We start from the raw sequence: 23630 nt of genomic DNA, 5'->3' as shown, positions 1-23630 counted from the left end.
CCACAGACACCCCCAGCCCCACCAACTGAGATGCAACTCTGAGAAAAGGGGGACTCGAAACAGAAGTTCAGTCACAGAAGAATAAAATGTTAACTCTTGCACAGCTGTGTATGATGGCTGTATTAGTTATTGCACTGACGTGGAAGGTCATAGATAGAGGTTACAAGTGATATGTTATGGGACCAATAAGTAGCACAGTCCATTGATCTCATCAGCACATATTTGGGTCACAGATGATCTCTGCCTTGTTTGAAATATGCACACACATATGTGTATATATATGTGTATATGTGTATATATATATGTGTATGTGTGTGTGTTTTCCCATATGTATACTTTAAATTATAAAATACCTGCTCCTGGCAGAAAACCTCAAATAGAGCCAAGGTGAGTAAATTAGTAAAGACCTCAAGCACTATTCTCCATCTGTTATGGGTGGAATTGTGTCCCCCCAAAAATTCATATGTGGAGTCCTAATCCCATGTACCTCAGAATGTGACTGGATTTAGAGATAGGGTCCTCAAAGAAGAAAATAAGTTAAAATGAGGTCATCAGGGTATGCCTGAATCCAGTATGACTGGTGTCCCCACAAGAAGAGGAAGTTTGGATGCAGACACACACAGAAGGAAGAGGATGTGGAGACTCAGTGAGAAGGCGGCCATCTACAAGCCAAGGAGAGAAGTCTCCGAAGAAACCAACCCTGCCCCCACCATGATCTTGGATTCTGAGCCTCCAGAACTGTGAGATAATAAATTCCTGTTGTTTAAACCATCTGGTCTGTGGGACCTTGTTACGGCAGTGCTGGCAAACTAATACTCCATCTCTGATCATTCCTACTTCCCACTGTGAAGACTTATACTCACATTTGTGGAAGACAGAATAGAAAGGGATGTCATACGTATATAGGTATACATATATATGTACATTTTTTTCTTTGTAAAATGTACAATATATAACTCTGTGTCTGTGTATCTCAAATATCCCTCTCCTTTTTTTTTTTTGTTTGAGATGGAGTCTCGCTCTGTCACCCAGGCTGGAGTCCAGTGGTGCGATCTCGGCTCACTGCAAGCTCTGCCTCCTGGGTTCACGCCATTCTCCTGCCTCAGCCTCCCAGGTAGCTGGGACTACAGGCGCCCGCCACCATACCTGGCTAATTTTTTGTATTTTTAGTAGAGATGGGGTTTTGCTGTGTTAGCCAGGATGGTCTCCATCTCCTGACCTGGTGATCCGCCCACCTTGGCCTCCCAAAGTGCTGGGATTAGGCGCGCCAGCCACCGCGCCCAGCCCCCTCTCCCTTTTTTTTATAAGGAAACCAGCCATTGGATTTAGGGTGGGCCTAATTATATACATCTGCAAAAACCCTATTTCCAAATAAGGTATTATTTATTGATATTTATATATATCTTATAATGTGTATTAATATGTATATTACAAAATACATATTTTTTCTCCCTATTTAAATTATAAAAAGACATAAGCATAAAGGTATTGCATAGTCAGTGTTTTAAGCACACAGTTTGATGAGTGTTGGTAACCGTATACAGCTGTGTAAACCACCCTCACCATCAGGATACAGCAGTTCTCTCATCTGAAAAAGTTTCCAAGTGCCCTTTCACAGCTAATTCTCTTCCTACCCACTGCTACCCCCAGCACCCCAGGAAATCATTGATCTGTTTTCTGTCAACATAGTTTTGCCCTTTTTTAGAATTTCAAGTGAATGGCATGTTTGCTGTATTTCTGAGATTATTTTTAAGCACAAAAGCAATACCATATTTCAAGTTATTTGATTGCACTTTTTATTTATAGGAATGTAAAAATAAAATGCAAAATAGGATAATAGGATGGTGCAGTGGAGCACGGGATAGGGATCATGGGGCTCTGGATTTGAGCCCCATCAACACAGCCTGCATCTGAGCTCCTGCCCCTTGCCTTGGCCCTTTGCTCACAGACTCATTTGTGTACAAATGCTTCCCAAATGCTCTGGGAAAATCCTCCAAATACTATTATTATTATTTTGAGATGGAGTCTCGCTCTGTCGCTCAGGCTGGAGTGCAGTGGCACAATCTTGGCTCACTGCAACATCCGCCTTCAGGGTTCAAGTGATTCTCCTGCCTCAGCCTCCTGAGTAACTGGGACTACAAGCATGCAAAACCATGCCTGGCTAATTTTTTGTATTTTAGTAGAGAGAGGGTTTCACCGTGTTGTCCAGGCTGGTCTCGAACTCCTGAGCTCTGGCAGTCTGCCCGCCTCAGCCTCCCAAATTGCTAGGATTACAGATGTGAGCCACCACACCCGGCCCCCCAAATAGTATTTAGTATTTTGACATCAAACATGATTTTGTAAATATTTTCAGATGGGAGAAAGTAAGATAAAATGATGAGGAATGGGCTCCAAGTCAGTGTTAGGACTAGACACAGAAGACATTCAACCTTTGCTGCCCATGACACTGGGTTTCTTCCTTCAATCCACATCCTGCCCATGCCTAAGAAAGCCCCAGGGACAAGTCCGTGATGAGGGGAAATGCTCATTCAGGGGCATGAAATTTTTAAGGTTTATCCAGCCCCCAGCAAGAACGTGTTCTCCTTCAGAATATTCAAGGAGAGCTTCTTGGTGGCAAAATGAAAGGTCAACATGTGATATTAGCTTTCTTCCACCCTCGTTCATGACTAAAAGTGTACCAGATTGCAACTAGATTTGGGCTATATTGACAAATTAAAGAGCAGTTCAGAAAAAGTTTTGCCTTTCCCACTTGCCCCATAGCAACTCTTTGTCTGGCATGACATTGAAGGTGAAAGTCAAGGCTAAACACAGGAGAAAGGAGATGGGAGACAGTGTCCCCCATGGGGGCTTCAGAGCCAGACACACTGACTAATGTCCTGGCTCTGTTGCTAGCCAGCCTTGTGTCCCTGGGCAGGGCAGGTCAGCTTCCTTAGTCTCACCCTCACTGTCATCAAAAGGCCCCCACATACCTGGGCTTCATATCATTGGCTGGAATTTTAAAGAAGAAAACAGGCATTCAGAACTGATTCACCAGCCCCATTCCCTACTATATGTTTAAGGAATATACCCCAATTGCCTGATATTTCTTTCTCAAGAATTCTTTCACAAGAAACACCAAGGAGACTTGGCTACCAACAATCCCTCCAAATGTGAACACTGTCTGATAACACTATTTTACATCAGCAGTCTTGAAAAACTTTTCTTCCTTGTGTGATCCCTAAGAGAAATTGAAAAAATGACGCCCCCTTTTAACATATTTTTAGCATAATGTCTAAACATTTTAAAGTACATTGAGATAACCGCAAAGGATGTAATTTCAGGTGTAATGTCTATTACACCCAAGCTTTGAATATATTTTTTGACAAAATCTTTGAGATTCAAATAATTCCATTCATGGAAAATTATCCTATAAACGACATGGCAAGCAAGGTGTGTTCTCAAGCAGACCAAGTTTAGGAAAGATGACGGGCAGGTGCTAAAGACACCGTTACAAATATGCAAACCGGCCAGGCACCATGGCTCACGCCTGTAATCCCAGCACTTTGGGAGGCTGAGATGGGTGGATCAGGAGGTCAGGAGTTCGAGACCAGCCTGGCCAAGATGGTGAAACCCCATCTCTACTAAAAAATACAAAAATTAGCTGGGTGTGGTGGCGGAAGCCTGTAATCCCAGCTAGTCAGGAGGCTGAGGCAGGAGAATTACTTGAATCCGGGAGGCGGAGATTGCAGTGAGACAAGATTGCACCACTGCACTCCAGCCTGGGTGACAGAGTGAGACTCTGTCTCAAAAAATAAAAAATAAAAATAAAAAAAATATGCAAACCGTGTCCCCTCAGTTAAAAGTCCATTGGTTATATCTCCTCCTGTGCTTGGTCCTTAGCTGTTTAGATTTCCTACTGACACTCGGGGAACTGATCGGAAAAGAGGATCACAGAGTACACCTATGGATTTGACACTCAGAACACATCATTTTTAACATCCTCTCTTTACTGACAACAGCCAATAAGTGATCTTTAATAAAACTGAAACGTATGCAAACAGTACAATTTAGGCAACCACTAAATTATACTAGTAAGTAACATAAGGTTAAATTTTCTAAAATTTCTTTTTCTTTCACTTTTAAAACCAAAAGATAGGAAAAAACATACATTTCATTTTAAAAGATACTTCTAACATTCAATAACTATTCTCATGTGTGGACTGAAATGTATATTTACCAAACAAAAAGAGTGTGTCTTGCACTTGTCACTTTCACTTTAACAATTTTCAAATGCAACAGTAAAATGCAAATATAAACTCCAAGTGGCCACACCGAGTGACAACATTGAAATAACTTACGTTCTGTTTTTTCATCTTTTCCATCACCATGCCCCAGTGTTTATTTTAACTTATTTTTTTAAAAGTACCATACAGGTCTGAGACATGCCCTGTGCCCAGTTCCACCCTGTTAGGCACTTATTATACGATCAAAACGTGTGTGTGTCACTGAGTGTGCTGGCAGTCCCTGTGCAACTCTTGGTTCTCTGAGTTAACGTCCATGTAGAATATAATATGCTGATTTGAAGCTTACAGATATATTATTACAATGCAAAAGTAACTGTAGCAATTCAGTACTCTTAGATCAACAAAATAATTTCTAGGGGAGGAATATTTTCATGCTAACACTGTTTAGAATTGCATAGTGATAACATACAGCAGATCAAATTTTGTTCAGTTTTATTATTACGTTTAAAATCTCTACCGTCCCCCCCCACCCTTTGAAAGCCTGCATTTACCGTAGATGGCTCCTACAACTCTGCCCTTTCTTCACCAGTAGAGGATAAATGCCCATTCTTGAGAAAGAGTAAAACAGAAGGAATTAAGTGAGAGAAATTAGTACTGAAGATGAAGTTCTCTGCTTTTTTCCTTCACAATCCTACTTAAGAACGGGACCGGTGACCCATAATGGAGGGTATCAGCTCCATGCAGAAATACTGTCTGTTTATGCCTGTTAATAAGCAGAATGGATGATAATTGGATAATAACTAGAGCGCAGCCGAATGGATCACGTTGCAGGTTTACAGAATCTTGACAGTGTGGGTGAGACACACAACACCCAAAATAATACAGTCTGTTTGAAAATACATAAGATGGAATAATGTTCAATCGTCTCCTGTCTACTAAAAGCCCAGTTAGATTTATGAGTCGGCACAATCCAAAAAAGCACAGTAAAGTCAAATTCATCTTCTGCAAGTAAATGTGTTCATTTAGTCCCACCTCGTGATACACCTTTATTTTATATTCCTTTAAAATCAATCTTTCTCCCTCTCCCATCCACACACATACTAGTGTGTTTGTGTGTATATATATATATATATATATATATATATATATATATGTACAATTTTTTCATGGCTGTAAATATAGTATATATGTTTATATAACTGTAAACTCTTGAAAAAATTTTAATTGCAAAATGCAACATAAGCATATATGTAAAAGTATAAAGATGTATTCTAAAATAATAAAGGTACCCACCACCCAGTAAAAAGAAGAAAACATTATGAGTATACTTTGAGATTGATACCGAGTACCTCCACACCTAAACATTTCTTGTTGTCTACTTTCCCCACAAAAGTTAGTCCTCCTTTTCAAGTATGTATTTTTACCATTTAACCAAATATGCATGAATCACTAAATAATACAATGCTTACTTTTGCCTGATTTTAAACTTTACATAATTGGGATCATGAGATATCCTGTGCTTATTCTCAGGAATATTGTTTTTGAATTGTATCCTTGTTAAAGCCTATAGCTAATTCATTTGTATAATTCTACCATATGACTATAATGTGCTTTCTCTTTCCATTCTAGAGCCAAACGTCATGCCTGGATTATTCCAGAATTTTGCTGCTACGAACAATGCTGCTAAGATGAGTGTCTTCAATCACTTGCACAATTGTTTCTCTAGTCTATAATATATTCCTTGGAGTGGAGATGCCAAGTCATAAATATGTAAGAGTTCAACTTCCATAGGCATCACCACAACGTTTTCCAATGTGGTTTGCGAATGCACACTTCCACCAGCATTCGATTAGCATTCCCTTTGTTCCACACACTTGTGCATACCTGGCATGGTCAGAGTCTAATTTTTTCCAGTTTAGTGAATTAAAATGATATCTCACTGTAGTTTTAATTAATTTGCATTTTCATGATTATTAATGACATTGAGCAACTGTTGTATGCTTATTGGTCATGTATATTTTCTCTTCTATGAAATGTTTGTTCATGGTTTTGCTCATTTTTCTATGGCATTGTTTGTTGTTTTCTCAATTTTTAGAAGTCTTTTATATATTCATGATTCTAATGCTTTGTTGGTGTGTGCTGCAAATATCTTCTTCCAATTGTGGCTTCTTTTTACTTTAATAGATCTTTTGATGAGCATAAGTTTTAAATTTTATTAATGCAGGTGACTAAATTTTAATATTCTACATGACTTTAATTAATTTCAACTTAAAAAGCTATGCAGAAGAATGGCTTTTTAAGAAGCCATTCTTCTGCATCTGGATATCCAGTTTTCCCAGCAACATTTATTTTAAGACACTGTTTTTTTGCCCCAGTGAGTGTTCTTACCAGTCTAAAACTACTAAGTAGCTTTACCATTTTTCCGAACAATAGAGGACGTTTATATCCTTTCCCAATTTGCATGCTCTTATTTTCCAGTAGTTAGAAGTCACTTGGGTTCTTATTAACTCCTCATAGTGGATATTATTGCTTTTTCTTTATACAGTCCATGATTGTTTAGATTAAGCCCCACTTACCACAGTATTTATCATTCCTTTTGATATCTCAAACTTTCATCCTGAGATAATTTTTCTTCTTCCTAAAATATATTTTGTAGACATTTCTTTGGTAAAGATAGGGTAGTGATACATTCCTTTCACTTCTTTTGCATGATAATTTTGCTCTTGTTGAAAGATAGTTTCATTACATGTAGAATTCTAATTGTTATTTTATCAGAGCACATGAAAGATGGTCTTCTACTGCCTTGTAGCGTCCATTTTTACATAGAAGTTAGCTGTCAGTCGTTTTTTGATAGGCAATCTGTCTTTTATTTCTAGTTGTTTTATTTTATTTAAAAAATTGATGTAAAAATTGTACATATTTATGGGGTACATAGTGATGTTTTGATACATATAATGCATAGTGATCAGATTGGAGTAATTAGCATAGTCTATCATCTCAAACATTTATCTTTTTTTGTGTTGAAAACATTCAATATTCTCCATCTAGCTATTTGAAACTATATATTATTGTTAATTAGAGTTATTCTACAGTGCTATAGAGCACTAGAACTTACTTCTATCTGTAATTTTGTATCCTTTAACAACTCTCTCCCCCTCTCTACCCTTCTCAACCTCTAGTATCCTCTGCTCTACTTTCTACTTCTATGAGATCAATATTTTTTAGCTTCCACATATGAGTGACAACATGTGGTATCTGCCTTATTTCACTTAGCATAATATCCTCCAGTTCCATCCATGTTGCCACAAATGACAGGATTTTATTCTTTTCCTTAGCCTAATAGTATTCCGTCACATATACCTATATATTCATACCACATTTTCTTTGTTCATCCATCTATTGTTGGACACCCTAGGTTGATTCCATATCTTGGCTATATAATAGTGCTGCAATAAGCATGGGGGTGTAGATGTCCCTTTGATATACTGATTTCCTTCCCTTTGCATAAATGTCCAGTAGTGGAATTGCTGGATGCTATAGTAGTTCTATTTTTAGTGTTTTGAGGAACCTCCATACTGTTCTCCATAGTGGCTCTACTAGTTTACATCCCCATCAACAGTGCATAAGTTCCCTTTTCTCTGCATTCTTGCCAGCATTTGTTATTTTTGTCTTTATGATAATAGCCATCCTGACTGGGGTAAAATGATACCTCATTGTGGTTTTGATTGGCATTTCCCTGATGATTCATGATGTTGAACACTTGTTTCATGTATTTTTTGGTCACTTGTATGTCTTCTTTTGAGAAATGCCTGTTTAGATTATTTGCCCATTTTAAAATTGGATTGTTCGGTTTTTTTTTTTTGCTGTCAAGATATTTGAGTTCCTTGCATATTCTGGATATTGACCTCCTGTCAGATGAAAAGTTTGAATATATTTTCTCTCATTCTGTAAGATGTCTTCTCATTCTTGTTTCCTTTACTGTACAGAAGCTTTTTAGTTTGATATAATCCCATTTGTTTATTTTTGCTTTTGTAGTCTGTGCCAGTGGGGTCTTATTCATAAAATCTTTTCCCAGGCCAATGTCCTGAAGCATTTCTCCTATGTTTTCTTGTACTAGTTTTATATTTTCAGATTTTGCATTTAGGTCTTTGATCCATTTTGAGTTGGCTTTAGTATAGGATGAGAGATGAGCGTCTAGTTTCATTCTTCTGTATATGGATATCTGATTTTTTGGGGACCATTTATTTAAGATACTGTTTTGTTTTGCCTCAGTGAGTGTTCTTCACATCTTTGTCAAAAATCAGTTGGCTATAGATATGTGGATTAATTTCTGGGTTCTCTTCTGCTCTATTGGTCTCTGTGTCTATTCTTATAACAGTACCATGCTGTTTTGGTTACTACAGCTTTGTAGTATATTTTGAAGTCTAGCAGTGTGATACCTCTAACTATGTTCTTTTCGCTGAGGATTGCCTTGGCTATTCATGGTCTTTTGTGGTTCCATGTACATTTTTATGATTCTTTCTATTTCTGTGAAGAATATCATTATTTTGGTAGAGATTGCATTGAATCCATAGTTTGTTTTGGGTAGTATGGTCATTTTAACAATGTTAATTCTTCTTATCCATGAGCATGAGATGTCTTTCCATTTGTATCCTCTTCAACTTCTTTCATCAGTGTTTTGTAGTTTTCCTTACAAAGGTCTTTCATTTCTGTGGTTAAGTTTATTCCTAGGTTTTTTTTAAATGTAACTATTGTAAGTAGGATTGCCTTTTTGATTTCTTTTTCATTAGTTCATTGTTCAAGTACAGAAACACTACTGATCTTTGTATGTTGATTTTGTAACCTGCAACTTTACTGAATTCACTTATCAGTTCTAAGAGTTTTTTGATATAGCCTTTAGGTTTTTCTACATATAAGTTCATGTGCCTGCAAACAGAGACAATTTGATTTCCTCCTTTCCAATTTGGATGCCCTTTATTTATTTTTTTGCCAATTGCTCTGGCTAGGGCTTCCATTACTATGTTGAATAAGAATGGTAAGAGTGGGCATCCTTGTCTTTTTCCAGTTCTTAGTGAAAAAGCTTTAAAGATTTCCCCATTCAGTACCATGTTAGCTGTGGGTTTATCATATGTGGCCTTTATTATGTTAAGGTACTTTCCTTCTATACCATCTTAATTGAGAGTTTTTATCATGATGGGATGTTGAATTGTATTGAATGCTTTTTCTCCATCTTTGGAGACAATCACATAACTTTTGTGTTTCATTCTATGGATGTGATGTATTATATTTATTGATTTGCATATGTTGAATCATCCTTGCATTCATGAGATAAATCCTACTTGATCATGGTGTATTATCTTTTTGATGTGTTGTTGGATTTGGTTTGTATTTTGTTGAGGATTTTTGTGTCTATGTTCATTAAGGATATTAACCTGTATAACCTTTTTCATTTTTTGGTTGCATCCTTATCTAGTTAGTTACACTGGTCTCATAGAATGAGTTAGGAAAAATTTCCTCTACTTCAAATTTTTGGAATAGTTTAAGAAAAATTAGCATTAATTTTCTTCAAGGGTTTGGTAGATTTCAGCAGTGAAGCCATCCAATTCTGGGCTTTTCTTTTTTGGGAAACTTTTTATTACTGATTTAATCTTATTACTTGTTATTGACCTATTCAGGTTTTCTATTTCTTCTTGGTTCAATCTTGATAGGTTGTATGTGTTCAGGAATTTATTTCCTCTAGGTTTTTAAATTTACTGGCATGGAGTTGTTCATTATAGTCTCTAACGATCCTTTGTATTTCTGTGGTATTCATTGTGATGTTTCCTTTTTCATTTCTGATTTATTTGAGTCTTCTCTTTTTTTCATTGTGTAGCTAAAGGTTTTTAAAATTTTGTTTTTCTTTTCCAAAACCAACTTTTTATTTCATTGATCTTTTGTATTTTTTCCTTCAGTTTCAATATTGTTCATTTCTGCTCTGATCTTTATCATTTCTTTCCTACTAACTTTGGATTGGTTTGTTCTCAGTTTTCTGGTTTCTGGAGATGCATCTCAAGTTGATGATTTGAAATCTTTTTAGTTTTTCAACCTAGGAATTTATTGCTATAAACTTGCCTGTAATATAGCTTTTGCTGTGTCCCGTACGTTTTGGTATGTTGTGTTTCTATTTACATTTGTTTCAAGGAATTTTTAAATTTCACTTTAAATTTTTTCCTTCACTCACTGGTCACTCAGGAGCAGGTTACTTTTTGTGTATTTGTATAGTTTCAAATGTCCCTCTTGTTACTGATATCCAGTTTTATTCCATTGCGGTCAGATTAAATACTTGATAAAATTTCAATATTTTTTTGGAGATAGAGTCTCACTCTATTGCCCAGGATGGAGTGCAGAGGCATGATCATGGCTCACTGCATCCTTACTGCAACCCTCTTGGGCTCAAGAGAGCCTCCCACCTCAGCCGCCTGAGTAGCTGGGACCACAGGTGTGCAGCACCACGGGTGGTTAATTTTTTAATCTTTTGTAGAGACAAAGCCTCACTATGTTGTCCAGGCTGGTCTCAAACTCTTGGGCTCAAACAATCCTCCTGCATTGTCTTCCCAAAGTGCTGGGATTATAGTGCTGGGATTACACCATGCCTGGCCATAATTTTGATTTTGAAAAGCTTTTTGAGATTTGTTTTGTGTCCTAATATACGGTCAAGCCTGGAGAATGTTCCACGTGCTGATGAAAAAAAATGCATATTCTGCAGCTATTGGGTGAAATATTCTGTAAATGTCGTTAGGTTTATATTATTTGGTCTATAGTGCAGTTTAAATCTGATGTTTCTTTGTTGATTTTCTGTGTAGATGATCTGTCGAAGGCTGAGAGTGGGGTGTTAAAGTCCCCAACTATTATTGTATTGTAGTCTATCTCTCCCTTTAGATCTAATAATATTTGCTTTATATATCTAGGTGCCCTAGTGTTAAGTGTATATGTTTACAATTGTTATATTCTCTTGCTGAATTAATCTCTTCGTCATCATATAATGCCCTTGTCTCTTTTTGTAGCTTTTGTCTTGAAGTGTGTTTTGTCTGATATAAGTACAGCTACTCTGCTTGCTTTTGGTTTCTGTTTGCATGGAGTATCTTTTTCCATCACTTCACTTTCAGTCTATTTGTGTCTTTATAGGTGAGATGAGTTTCTTGTGGGCTGTATATTGTATCTTGTATTTTTAATCTGTTCAGTCAGTCTACATCTAAATGGAGATTTTAATCTATTTACATTCAAGGTTATTATTGATCGGTGAGGACTTTTATCATCCTATCGATTTCTTTTTACTTGTTTTGTATATCCTTTGTTCCTTACTTCCTCTCTTATTTTTGCAGTTGGGTGTTTTTCTGTAGTGATATGGTCTGATTCTTTTTCTTTCTCCTTTGTGTATTGGCTCCATCAATAAGTTTTATAGTTCTGCATGCTTTCATGACAGTGGTTATTGTCTTTTCGCTTCTAGATGTAAGACTCTCTTAAGCGTTTCTTGTAAGGTTGGTCTAGTGGTGATGAATTTTCTTAATTTTTGCTTGTCTGCGAAAATTTTTATTTCTCCTTCATTTCTAAAGAATGGCTTTGCTGGGCATAATATTGAATGGCAAGTTTTATTTTTTTTCTTTCACTACTTTGACTTTATCATTCTATTCTTTCCTGGCCTACATGGTTTCTGATGAGAAATCTGCTATCAATCTGATGGAGATTACCTTATATGTGACTTGAAGCTTTTCTTTTGCTGTTTGTCTTTGACTTTTGACAATTTGACTAAAATGTGCCTCAGAGAGGACCTGTGGGGATTATATCTATTTGGGGTTCTTTGAGCTTCCTGGATCTTTCTCCCAAGACTTGGAAAGTTTTCACGTATTATTTCATTAAATATGTTTTCTGCACCTTTTCCCTTCTCTTCTTCCAGAATGTCCACAATGCAAATATTTGTTCACTTAATGATATCCCATAAATCCTTTGACTTAATTCCTTTTTATTATTTATTTAATTTCATCTATTTGTTTGCCTGTATTATTTCAAAATACCTGTCTTCAAGTAAGAACAAATTCTGCTTGGTCTAGTCTGGTGTTGAAGTTCTCAATTGTATTTTTTATTTCACTCATTGAGTTCTTCAGCCATAGAATTTGGTTCATTTTAAATGATATCTATCTCTGTTGAATTTCTCATTAAAATAATGACTTATTGTTTTCATGATTTCATTGAATATATTTTCTTATATTTCACTGAATTTGTTTAGAATTATTATTTTGAATTCTTTTTCTGTCATTTCATTTATTTCCTTATGATTGGGGTTTATTACTAGGGAATTATTGTGTTCCTTTGGAGGTCTGTTTCCTTGCTTTTTCATGTTTATTGTGTCCCTACATTGATTTCTACACATCTGATGAAACAGTCACCTCTTCCAATTTTATGGAGTAGGTTTAATAGGAAAAGATTTATTCATTTATGTGGGTGTTGGGGTGTGGGCTCAATGCAGTGCATTGGCTTTGCTTCTGGGTAGACACAGTAGTATAGTCTCCAGTAGTTTCTTAAGCTGTAATCCATACTAGCGATATTTATGAATGTCTCAGTGGCCTAGGCTTAGACAGTTTGTGCTGGTAGCGGTGCAACTTTTCCAGAGGTGGGCTTGCTGAGCTGTTGCTCAGATTGGAGGCATATGTCTGCACACAGTGGGTCAGCTTTCTTGGGGTCTGGCTCACTGGGGTTGGGACCACAGGGCTGTTACTCTGTCTAGGGGCACATGGTTTCTCAGCTGGCCTGGGGGCATGCTTGCCAGGAGCAGTCTGTGGGGCTCTTTCTCAGGCCCAGGACATGGGTGCACAGCTGCTCAGCCAGCCTAGGGACGTGTCTGCCAGGGGTGGCCCATGGTGCTGTTTCTCAGGCTTGGAACACAGGTGAAGTCTCCTCAGCTGGCCCTCTCTAGTCATTTTGAAGATTCTTTTTGTGTTTAGTGTTCTGAAATTTGACATCAATGTAGCTAGATATAGATTTGTTTTCATTTTATCCTGCTTGGAATTTTTTTGGCTTTTGGAACCCGATGCTTTTAATCCACTCAGAAAAACTGTCAACTATTAGATCTTTAAATTTGGAAGGAAATAATAAAGACAATGGGGAAGAATTGCTCTTCCCATTTTCTCTGTTATTTACTTCTCAAAATTTGGTTAGATGTTAGAATTTATCACTCTCTTCTTCAAGTCTTTTAACCTCTCTTTCATATTATTTGTTTCTGCCTTTCCGTGATACATTCTGAGTACTTTTATCTGCTTTATCTTCTAGTTTATCAACTCTTTGTTTAGCTGTGTCAAATCTGCTGTTTAATGTTTCTATTAAGTCTCTAATTTCAATTATATTTTTCATTTGCAGAGATTCCATTTGGCTACTTATCAAAGCTTCTAGTCCTTTTTGAGAATCCTTAATCCTCTTTTCTTCAACATACTTCCAGTACTCTCTTATTTCTTTAAAAACATTATGTTAAGCATATGGAACTGCAGATAGTTACCAGCTTTGACCTATAAAAATGGCAATTTCGTATGATCTAATAATTATTCTATAATCTGAATATAATTACAATGTCTGCAATCTTTATGTGTTGGATTCTGCCATTTGTGCTCTTTGCTGACTTATCCTTATGTTGTTTTGTTTTCTTATGTTTCCAGTGACTTTTGTTTTTATCTGGAAATTTTTTTGTTCTGTATTTAATGTGTGCTTCTCCAGAGAGGAGATGTGTTTGCTTCTTCCTGGTAGCTGGGGGCAGTACTGAAATAGAGAAAGTTTAAATTTTTTATGGCTGCATAGTATTCCATGGTGTATATGTGCCACATTTTCTTAATCCAGTCTATCATTGATGGACATTAGGGTTGGCTCCAACTCTTTGCTATTGTGAATAATGCCGTCCTTTGTAGGGACATGGATGAAGCTGGAAACCATCATTCTCAGCAAACTATTGCAGGGACAGAAAACCAAACACCACATGTTCTCACTCATAGGTAGGAATTGAACAATGAGAACACATGGACACAGGAAGGGGAACATCCCACACCACGGCCTGTCGTGGGGTGGGGGGAGGGGGGAGGGATAGCATTAGGAGAAATACCTAATATAAATGACGAGTTAATGGGTGCAGCACACCAACATGGCACATGTATACATATGTAACAAACCTGCATGTTGTGCACATGTACCCTAGAACTTAAAGTATTTTAAAAAAAGAAATAAATGTAGATACAGTTGGTGTTCAGTTTCAACAACATTCTGATTTTAAATTCCTTTGGATAGCCTTTTTAAAAATATCAAATGATTAATTTTATAAAACTTCATTGTTTATATCTATAATTACAAAATTATATTTTAAACTTTCTGTAGTCTTTTAAAAAAAGACTATCAAATGATTGTTATAAAAATTGTTTTCATAATTTTATATATTTGTATTATAAAACTTGCATTTTTTCATCATTAAATCTTTACTGAGTGGGGGAAAAAAAAAGACAATTTAAATTTTTGCTTGAATTTTTGGGCCACATGGGGTTTAGTGAGACACGCCAACAAGAATAGACTTAGAATTTGGAATTAGGAATTTTCTAGGGAGACTTTTTCTCCTGTCTTTCACCTATTAATAGCCAAAGACAAAACGATTATTTCCATCATCTCCTTCTCTAAAGCCTTCTCCCCCTACTCATCTAATAATCGTATTGCTCTTCAGGAGTCTCTGAACTGACTGCCACCCTACTCAATTTTTTTACTTGATACTCATATAGGCTTTTAAAATTCATGCCCTAGACTACCCAGGATGGACAGATGTCCTCTGAGAAAAGACTAATCTAAAACGAGTCTACTTTCCTGAATTCTCACTTTCTATTTTAAGGCCTCTAAAAATTTCCCTTACTTTCTTACCAGTTCAGTGTTCTGCCCCAATGGGTATTGTTATGGCTGTGTGACCAGAACAATATTTGGCTGTATGACAAGAACAAAACAGAAGTCCTAGTCTCTTTGTCACTAGGTATTATATCCAGTTTCTTGAACAATATGAACTCGATGAGGTACCAATGGGAAATAATTTTACTTTTCCCTTATGACATCTTGAGCAGACCCTTTAGCTTTCTGGTCACTTGCAATTTAGTCCAGTTTAAAATTTAAATCCCATTTTATCTTCTATTTTTTTTCCCTTCACAGCTTTGTCTAGAGGACCTAGACAGGAAAAGGGTGGGCTCGGCTTCCTCTTTTCCTCTCTTTCTCTGTCTTCTGTCTCCATGATGATGCTCCCTTGACCCTCCAAGAGTCACAGGGATCCTGGGGGTGGGGAGGTCAGTGTTCCATATATTTCTCCTTAAGCATCACACTACAATATGGGCCCTATTTGCCTTTTGGTGTGGGCTGCCCCATGCAGCCTCTTAGCCTCAAGAGTCTCAGTTCATATACATCCACAAACTCTGGCAAATGGCCCATGAACTTTTCCATATTTTCCTCTCTGGCAGCAGAAGCAAGGATGAGCTATGGGTTCAACAGCTCAGCAAGAATCCAATCAGTGAGAAGGTTAACACCCTGCTTCTTGTAGGACCCCTAATCATCACCAGTGATTTCCCTGGAGCCCTCCTCATTTGGCTTAGTGGGAGGAAAAATTTAGATTTAGAAAGTGTTCTTTAGGAAAACCTATGAACTGTGACTCTATAGAGTGTCCTCTTTTGACTCCCAACCTACCCTACACCCAACCTAGAAGTTTACTTTTATACCTGGATAAATGTGGGAGGTTTTAGACAATTTTGATAGTCAACAAATGCCATCAGTGATAAGCTCAAATGTTTCTGCCATTAATTCTTATAAAAAATAATATTCTAGGGGCATATTATCTGAGGAACATACAGGATAGATCGCTGTAGAAAATCCTGAGCCAATGATTTCCTTCTTGGATCTAGAAAATGGTGTCATAGAACCTGAATTAAGTGTTGGAATTTAAATTTTATATAAAAATGACTTCAAATTTCCTGTGGCTGCAACTGATGGTAGAATTAGACTTTATTTGTACAAAACATGCCTTATTAAAGTCAACGTGTTTAAGGAGAACAAAGCCTATATAAATGATACAGCAATAACTTCTAAATTTAGCTTTTAAAGTTTTGTATATATAATACGTGGCATAATTATATTAACATGTCAGTAACAACGTTTTGTGTTTAAAGCTTTTATCTGGCACCAATGTCTTCAGAACAGAGTAACAAATTCAACTGCACAAGGAGCTAAGCTGAAAACTAATGTTCTCCTTGCTCATAATGTGTATACACTTTCTGTCAGAAACACGATTTTGTTAGGGTCTTCCCACCAGCATCTCATCCAGCGATTTTAGTGTATAGAATTCCATGCTGCGACCGATGATACAGTGAAATCCATAGTCACTGTTGCTCCAGAGCATGATGTCCACTGCAGTTTCCCAGTTCCTTCTCTAAAAAAGAGTCAGTGATCCCGGGTCAGCTACACTAAATCTGGATTTCATTCTCTTCTCAAATTTTATCTTATTGGAAACAGAATGTTTTATTTAATTAATTTCTTTTGAGATGGAGTTTCACTCTTGTTGCCCAGGCTGGAGTGCAATGGTGCGATCTCGGCTCACTGCAACCTCTGCCTCCCAGGTTCAAGCAATTCTCCTGCTTCAGCCTCCTGAGCAGCTAGGATTACAGGCATGCGCCACCATGACTGGCTAATTTTGTATCTTTAGTAGAGACGGGGTTTCTCCATGTTAGTCAGGCTGGTCTCGAACTCCCAACCTCAGGTGATCCGCCCGCCTTGGCCTCCAAAAGTGCTGCGATTATAGGCATGAGCCACCATGCCCGGCCCAGAATTTTTTAATAGAAACGTTTAAAAAGAAATTTTAGAGTACAATTAGGGGTTTGTATGGTATATTTTGACTTTTAATAAACTGCCTGTCTTTTCCTTCCTTCATTCCACTTAGCATTTTTTCTTCCAGGAGAAAAAAATCAAACAAGGAAAAATGTTGAAAAGATGAATTAATGCGACATTTAGAGTAAGATTTTAATGACACAAAGGCCAGGAGCATCAGAGATATGCCTTTGCTTTCACAGTTATAAGTTGACAGGATTTTAAGAGGTTGTTACTAAAGTGAATCCCATAAGAAGAAAAATTCATACATTTAAATAAAACATGTTACAGTGAAGTTACATTTGTTAAGGCAACCACAGCATAATCAATATTTAATTAAGCACTGTCATTTTCAGAGTTGGCCCTAAAAAAGCCACACCCTTCCTTCCATCAGTATTGGCTGTGCTACAAATGTTTTTGGAAATGCTCTTTGGAAATAAACTTATGAAACAGCTTTTAAGGACAACAAGAAAACTGACTTCATTTACCCAGAGTCACACCTTATTTAAACCACAATTGGCATTTCCCTCTTTAATTACAGACTTTATTCACCGAACTGACTTCAAATTACTTTTTGTAAAACAAAAGGAAAAAGGAAAAGGAAAGCTATTTTTATTGTGAAATATTATACAAACAGAAAAGTGCTAAGAAGAAATACTGTGGGAACAGTTTACATTATTTTAATCATGTTACCATGATTGATGTTAAAAAATTTTTTTTTCAACACTCTGGTAGTCTCTTGCAGGTACTGTCCCAATCACAATATACTCCCTGCCCCTTAGAGGTAAACAGTAATCACTGCCCATCATAAATTTGTTTAATATAGTTGCTGCCTTGACATCCATTTTTAGGCCTAACACATGTTTACCCTGATGTACCTCATCACCTTTGGCCTTGTTAAAACGTCCCCTCCCCGTGCGGTTAAGATGTAGCCTCCTTGTTCCTCATCTCCCTGACCCAAACCTGACACAGCCCACAGCTGCTGACCATGGTAAAACCTAATAGTCAATACCAGAGTCAGGTAAATAAGCTCTCATCTTTGCATGTGTTTTCTTTAAACTAGCAAATCCACAACCCCTATGGCATAGGAGATAATGTCCATGGGCCTTAATAAAGGCATCGTCTGACAGGTGCTCTCTTGGATTACCAAATGTCCCCAGGGCAAAAACAGCACCCAAGGCCACCATCATATCTATGGATGTTTATGTTAGCATGAATCTTGGCCCAGTAACTCTTTATTCTCTTGTTAACTCTCCAGTGACATCAAGTGAATTTTTTTTTTTTTTACCAGATTTTGTAATTGTTCTCATTCAGACAGTTGGTCTGAGTAGGCTAGTCTACCATTCTCCAAAGCAGAATCTCCAAATCAATTTTGATTATATAAATGTATATATGGTTATGAATTCATGGCTTTGCTTCTGTTGAGGATATTTAAACAAGTTCTAAAAGCTCTTACTGGAGAAAAAAATCTGAAAAAATCAAAGCAATGGAAGCATTACTGAAATAAATATACCACTTTTCGAAGTGAATATTTTAAGAGATTATTTTATGTATGTATAAATTTTGGCATACTAATTAAGAATAAATTTTATTTTATAACTAATTGATTTAATTCCATCACGAACGTGGAAATAATATGATTAGTTATGATATCCAAAAGATATTTTAAACTACATTAGACCTGGACAAATACAATTTATAACTTTATTAAGCAATTTAAGCTGAATGCTTATTAAATAATTCTACTACATAAGTTCATGTTAGTATAATTTGCTTTCAAAATTAATATTATAATCTATATTTTTTCAAATAAAACTTTGGAAGAAAACTAAATTTTTGCTTGTTTCTTTTTTCAGTTAATGAATCACAATTTTTCTAAAAAAAATCATTGTGTCATCTACTTTAAACTATAATGTGCTTAGTGTAATTTTGGCACTGTATTAGTTTTCTATGGCTGCTGCAACAAATCACCACAAACTTTGTGGCTTAAAACAAGAGAAATTTATTATCTCACAGTTCTGGAGGCCAGAAGTCCACAGTTGGTTTCACCAGGCCACAATCAAGGTGATGGCAGGGCCATACTTGCTCTGGAGGTGCTAAGGAATCTTCTGGTGGCTGCTGGCATCCTTGGCTTCTGGCCACATCATTCTAATCTCTGCCTCTGAGGCCATATGGCCTTCTCCTCTTCTTTCTATACTAAATTTTCCTCAGACTCTCATTTGTAAGGATACATGTCATTGTATTTAGGGCACACCCAGATAATCTAGGACAAGCTTGTCCAACCCATGGCCCATGGGCCACATGTGGCTCAGGATGGCTTTGAATGTAGCCTAACACAAATTAGTCAATTTTCTTAAAACATTATGAGATTTTTGTGTGTGTGTGTGATTTTTTTTTCTAGTTCATCAGCTATCGTTAGTGTTAGTGCATTTTATGTGTGGCCCAAGAGAATTCTTCTTCCAGTGTGGCCCAGGGAAGTCAAAAGATTAGACACCCTGATCTAGAATAACCTACCCATATGAAGATACTTAATGTAACCATACCTTCAAAGACCCTTTATCAACAAATGTTTACAGATGTAAAGAACTAGAAGCTGATATTTTGGGGGGCCATTATTCAGCCCTCTACATGCATCCAACAAATTATCTCTATTTTGAGGCATTTTTAAAGTTCTTCCTTCCAGTGATACAGAAGCAGAAGAAGAGTAACAAAGACTAAGAATACTGATTAACTTTGGGCAATTCTCAGGGAATTACTAATTTGGGAAATCTATTTCTCTATTTGTGAGAAAGAGATAGAATTGGGATGAATGAATTGAAGCAAGAGGGAGGCAGGGAAGTTCATTATAAAAAAAGTTTCTAAAGGTCAAAGTTGTCCAAAGATGGAATGAGTGATGATGCCATCCATCATCGCACGTTATTAAAACAGAGGCTGTTTCTTGTTCTTTGGTTTTCTAATCTGGAAGTACCACAGTGCAATGGTTTGGATGTCCCCTCCAAAACTCATCTTGAAATTTAATTACCACAGTAACAATATTAAGAGATGGGATCATTAATGAATGACTAGATCATGAGGGTTCCATGAGGTAGATTCAGTTAGAACATCTTGAGAAAAAGTGAGAAGCATTAACTACAGAATGAATTAATGCAGTTATCCTAGGAGTGGGTTAGCTATCCAAGGAGTGGGTTCCCAATAAAAAGGCTGAGTTTGCACCCCCCATCCCCAGTTCACACACATGCACCTTCCATTTTCTGCCTACTGCCATGGGATATCCCTCATTAGATGCTGGCACCATGCTTTTGGACTTCCCAGACCCTAAAACTGTGAGAAATACATTTCTCTCTTCTTTGCCCAGTCTGTGGCATTCTGTTACAACAGCAGAAGACAGACTGAGACACACATCTTAAGACAAAACTGGTGGCCTAAATTAACTCAGAGGTAGATTCAGTTAGAACATCGTGAGAAAAAGTGAAAAGAATTAACTTCAGACAGGCCTTTATACATATCCTGTGAAGAATCTCAGAAGATCAGAGTCAGAATGGACTACAAATATCATTTAATCCAAACCTATCAATTAACAGGTGAGAAAACTGAGGCCCAAAGAGGTTGGTGACTAGCTCAAGGTCACACAGTGACCAACCCAGGTCACATAGGCTGTTTGGAGCCTAGACTCCAAACTGTATTGCCAAGAAACTGTAAGAATAATACTTTTAAATGTTTAGGTAAACATAAAGCTATTAAAAATAAATTTGTGGATAATGAAAAGACAGAAATGTATTCATAAAAAAATGTGTTAAGTAAAATAAAAATGCATGTATATACCTTGGATATTTTCTGAAAATTATTTGTGCAAGAAAATTTCATAAGGAAGAGCTAGGTGGGCATAATTTTAATCAAATCCATTCCTCTATTCTTTGTGATACAGAGGTAGAATTGGGACTAATGCAGTGAAGCAAGAGGAGGCTGGTAGGTTTATTACAAAAAAAAAAGTTTCTCAAGGTCAAAGTTGTCCAAAGATGGAAGGAGAGATGACATCCATCATTGCAGATTGTTAAAACAGAGGCTAGAGAGCACTCTGTAGGGGTCTTACACATTCCCAAATTCATACAGGCTGTAGGAGATAAATATGAGAAGCTGCTGAAAATAGAGGATCCCGAGTCCAGACCCATGGGGATGTCCTGGAAATCTATTTTTAACAAGTTACACAAGTGATTCTCATGTTCAGGGAGAACGCATCAAACACCTTTAAGAAACTGCTGCAATCCAAGAGTCTATAATTTTGTGCATGAGATCATGGGAACAGTTTGCAATGGTAGTGAGGAATCCAGATTCCAGTCTTGGTTCTGTCCTTAACTGTGATTTTTGAGGACATTACATCATGTCTCTGGTACTCAATCTTCCTGACTGCAAGAATAAGTGAGACTAGATGCATCTTATGGCTCTTACATGCTAGGAATTTGTGTTTCTGAGGGTGGTCTGGAAGAAATAAATCTCCAAAGTCCCTGGAAAATTCTTCATGACATTCAGGTGATGGAGAATTATCCTGGAATGACTGTCTATGACAGCTGGGCAAAGCTGCACAATCTGGCTGCTTTCCTGGGGCTGGCAGGCATTCTGCCCAGGATATGTCTATCACCTGCAGGGCAGGTGGGGCGTGGATAGAGCTGGCACGCTGAGGTTGGAAACTCCGAAGACTCACCATCTTGGCTCCAGTGATCATCTTTGTTACCTACTTACTATTCAAAGAGGGTCTGAGGAGGTTGGTCTGTAGTCCTGAAAAGGGATTGGTAGGGTGGCTCTGAAGTACCCTTTCTGTGGGCACCTTGCTCAGAAATCTTAAGCTTCTGGAAGATGAGATGGTTTGTATGTGACTTCCCCTGCAAAAAGCCAATGAGCCTTGGACTTTGATCTGATGTTGGGTTCTTCTTTCTTCCGTATTTCCTTCTCTCTCCAATTCTCTATTTTTGCTCAGAAATATTTATTTGCTAAACCTCACCCCTTACAGCTCTTAATTTTTCACTTTCTAAGACAGAGATTATATTCTAATGGTTATCTCTTGTGTTTGGCCTTCTCCCAAACATATCTATCCCCTAACTCAGTGCATTTACTCCCTGGGCCAACCTTCCCAATCCCAACATTTCGAACCCACAGGTGAACCAACAGGCATTCCTTCTCCCTCTTCATCCCAGCAATACCTGTGAATTCACCTATGAGTTTGTCCTGATCTGAGCAGGGAAGATAATTTCCCTTACATATTGGTGGGAAAATTTCAAACTCAAAATCATAGAAGATGTGGGGTGGGTGAGCATGTTATCTCAAGGCTGGGTAGCAGATAGACTAATACATGGCTTATAGAAGAAGATGTGAAAATTATAGTTCCCAGTCATGACCCTGGAGTCCCGGGTCACTCAGACTCTGATGACTCCCAAATCCATACATATCTCTTACATAAAATGTTCTCCAGGACTTTGGCTCCTCACTTCCAAGTTTCTCCTAAACAGTGCTACCCAAATAACCCTTCAAAACCTCAAGCTTAGCATAATCAAGACTGATCTTGTGTCTTCTCTCCCAAACCCATAACTTCCTCAAGTCCTTATCTTGGGTATAGGAACCTCCTTTACCCAAAACAGGTTAGATGAATATAGGTTATTTTTATTCAATGTATTTATTTAAATTTATTAACATTTTTATTAGATATTTATTATTAATAAAGATGTAACCAATGAAGTTAGATCACACATATGAAAGCCAGAAAGACAAAGAAGAGAAACATTTGATGAGAAAAGGTTTTGCTTTCAGCACATAAGATCGAAACAGGTGCTTTCAGTCCAGGCTCTGTATGGATCCTTCAGGAATTCACCAAACAAATTTAATTTGTGAGATGGAAAGTCAAGAAATGCCTACCATCTCTTGTGTCACTGTTCCAACTGGTAGACATCGACACCTTAGGAAGGTTGTAAACAAACACACCACAAAGCCAGCTTTAAAGGGACTCGTGGACGAAATCACATCTCTTCAACTCTGATCTTTGTGTATCACTTGGTACAATGGTTCCCTTCTATGTCACCTGTGAATTCTGGAAAACTGGATATCAATTTTCTGCTCTGCTTATAGCTATACCTCCCCTGTTATCTCTATCCTCAGTACCCATAAATTATTTTTCCAAATTCACATTCCCCAGGTCTACAATTTTTCCTTTATCTCAGTTTTGACTTTTTTGGCAAGTACATTCTTTTTCTAGAATGTTCTCTTTATGCTCTAAAACTTTCCATTTAGAGTTTCTTGTCCAGGCTCATTTGATCCACTACAAAGGTACACATCCGCATATTGCTATGTGTTTGTTGATTTATTTGGTGTAGGTCATTAACAGTTGCTTCTCTTTTCGCCTTTGGGATGATCTGGATATGTTGGCAAAATTTTCAACTCAATGTGGTAACTTGACAGTGTAGAGACGGGCCTTGCAGCAAGATACTACTTTTTATCAACATTATTCTCTGACTTTCACTGTGTTGC

At 37.2% G+C, this 23630-nt stretch overlaps 1 protein-coding gene and 1 long non-coding RNA gene across 53 annotated transcripts in view; one reads left to right on the top strand and one right to left on the bottom strand.

The window, feature by feature from the left end:
* The window catches only part of LOC105370559 (uncharacterized), a 36836-nt gene extending 30658 nt beyond the window's left edge, over positions 1-6178 (top strand). The window contains exon 4 of one of the 2 annotated variants that reach the window (XR_944018.3): positions 5853-6178. This is a non-coding gene — a long non-coding RNA (uncharacterized LOC105370559). The remainder of the gene's footprint in view (positions 1-5852) is intronic. The other variant, XR_944019.3, reaches the window with a different exon arrangement.
* The window catches only part of RGS6 (regulator of G protein signaling 6), a 762695-nt gene that overhangs the window by 241476 nt on the left and 497589 nt on the right, over positions 1-23630 (bottom strand). The gene's annotated exons all lie outside the window — the stretch shown is intronic.

The sequence above is a fragment of the Homo sapiens genome, chromosome 14 (genome assembly GCF_000001405.40).
Source record: "Homo sapiens chromosome 14, GRCh38.p14 Primary Assembly".
Taxonomy (NCBI): domain Eukaryota; kingdom Metazoa; phylum Chordata; class Mammalia; order Primates; family Hominidae; genus Homo; species Homo sapiens.
The sequence above is the reverse complement of the archived record's forward strand: the minus strand, read 5'-3'. Positions and strand labels throughout refer to the sequence as shown.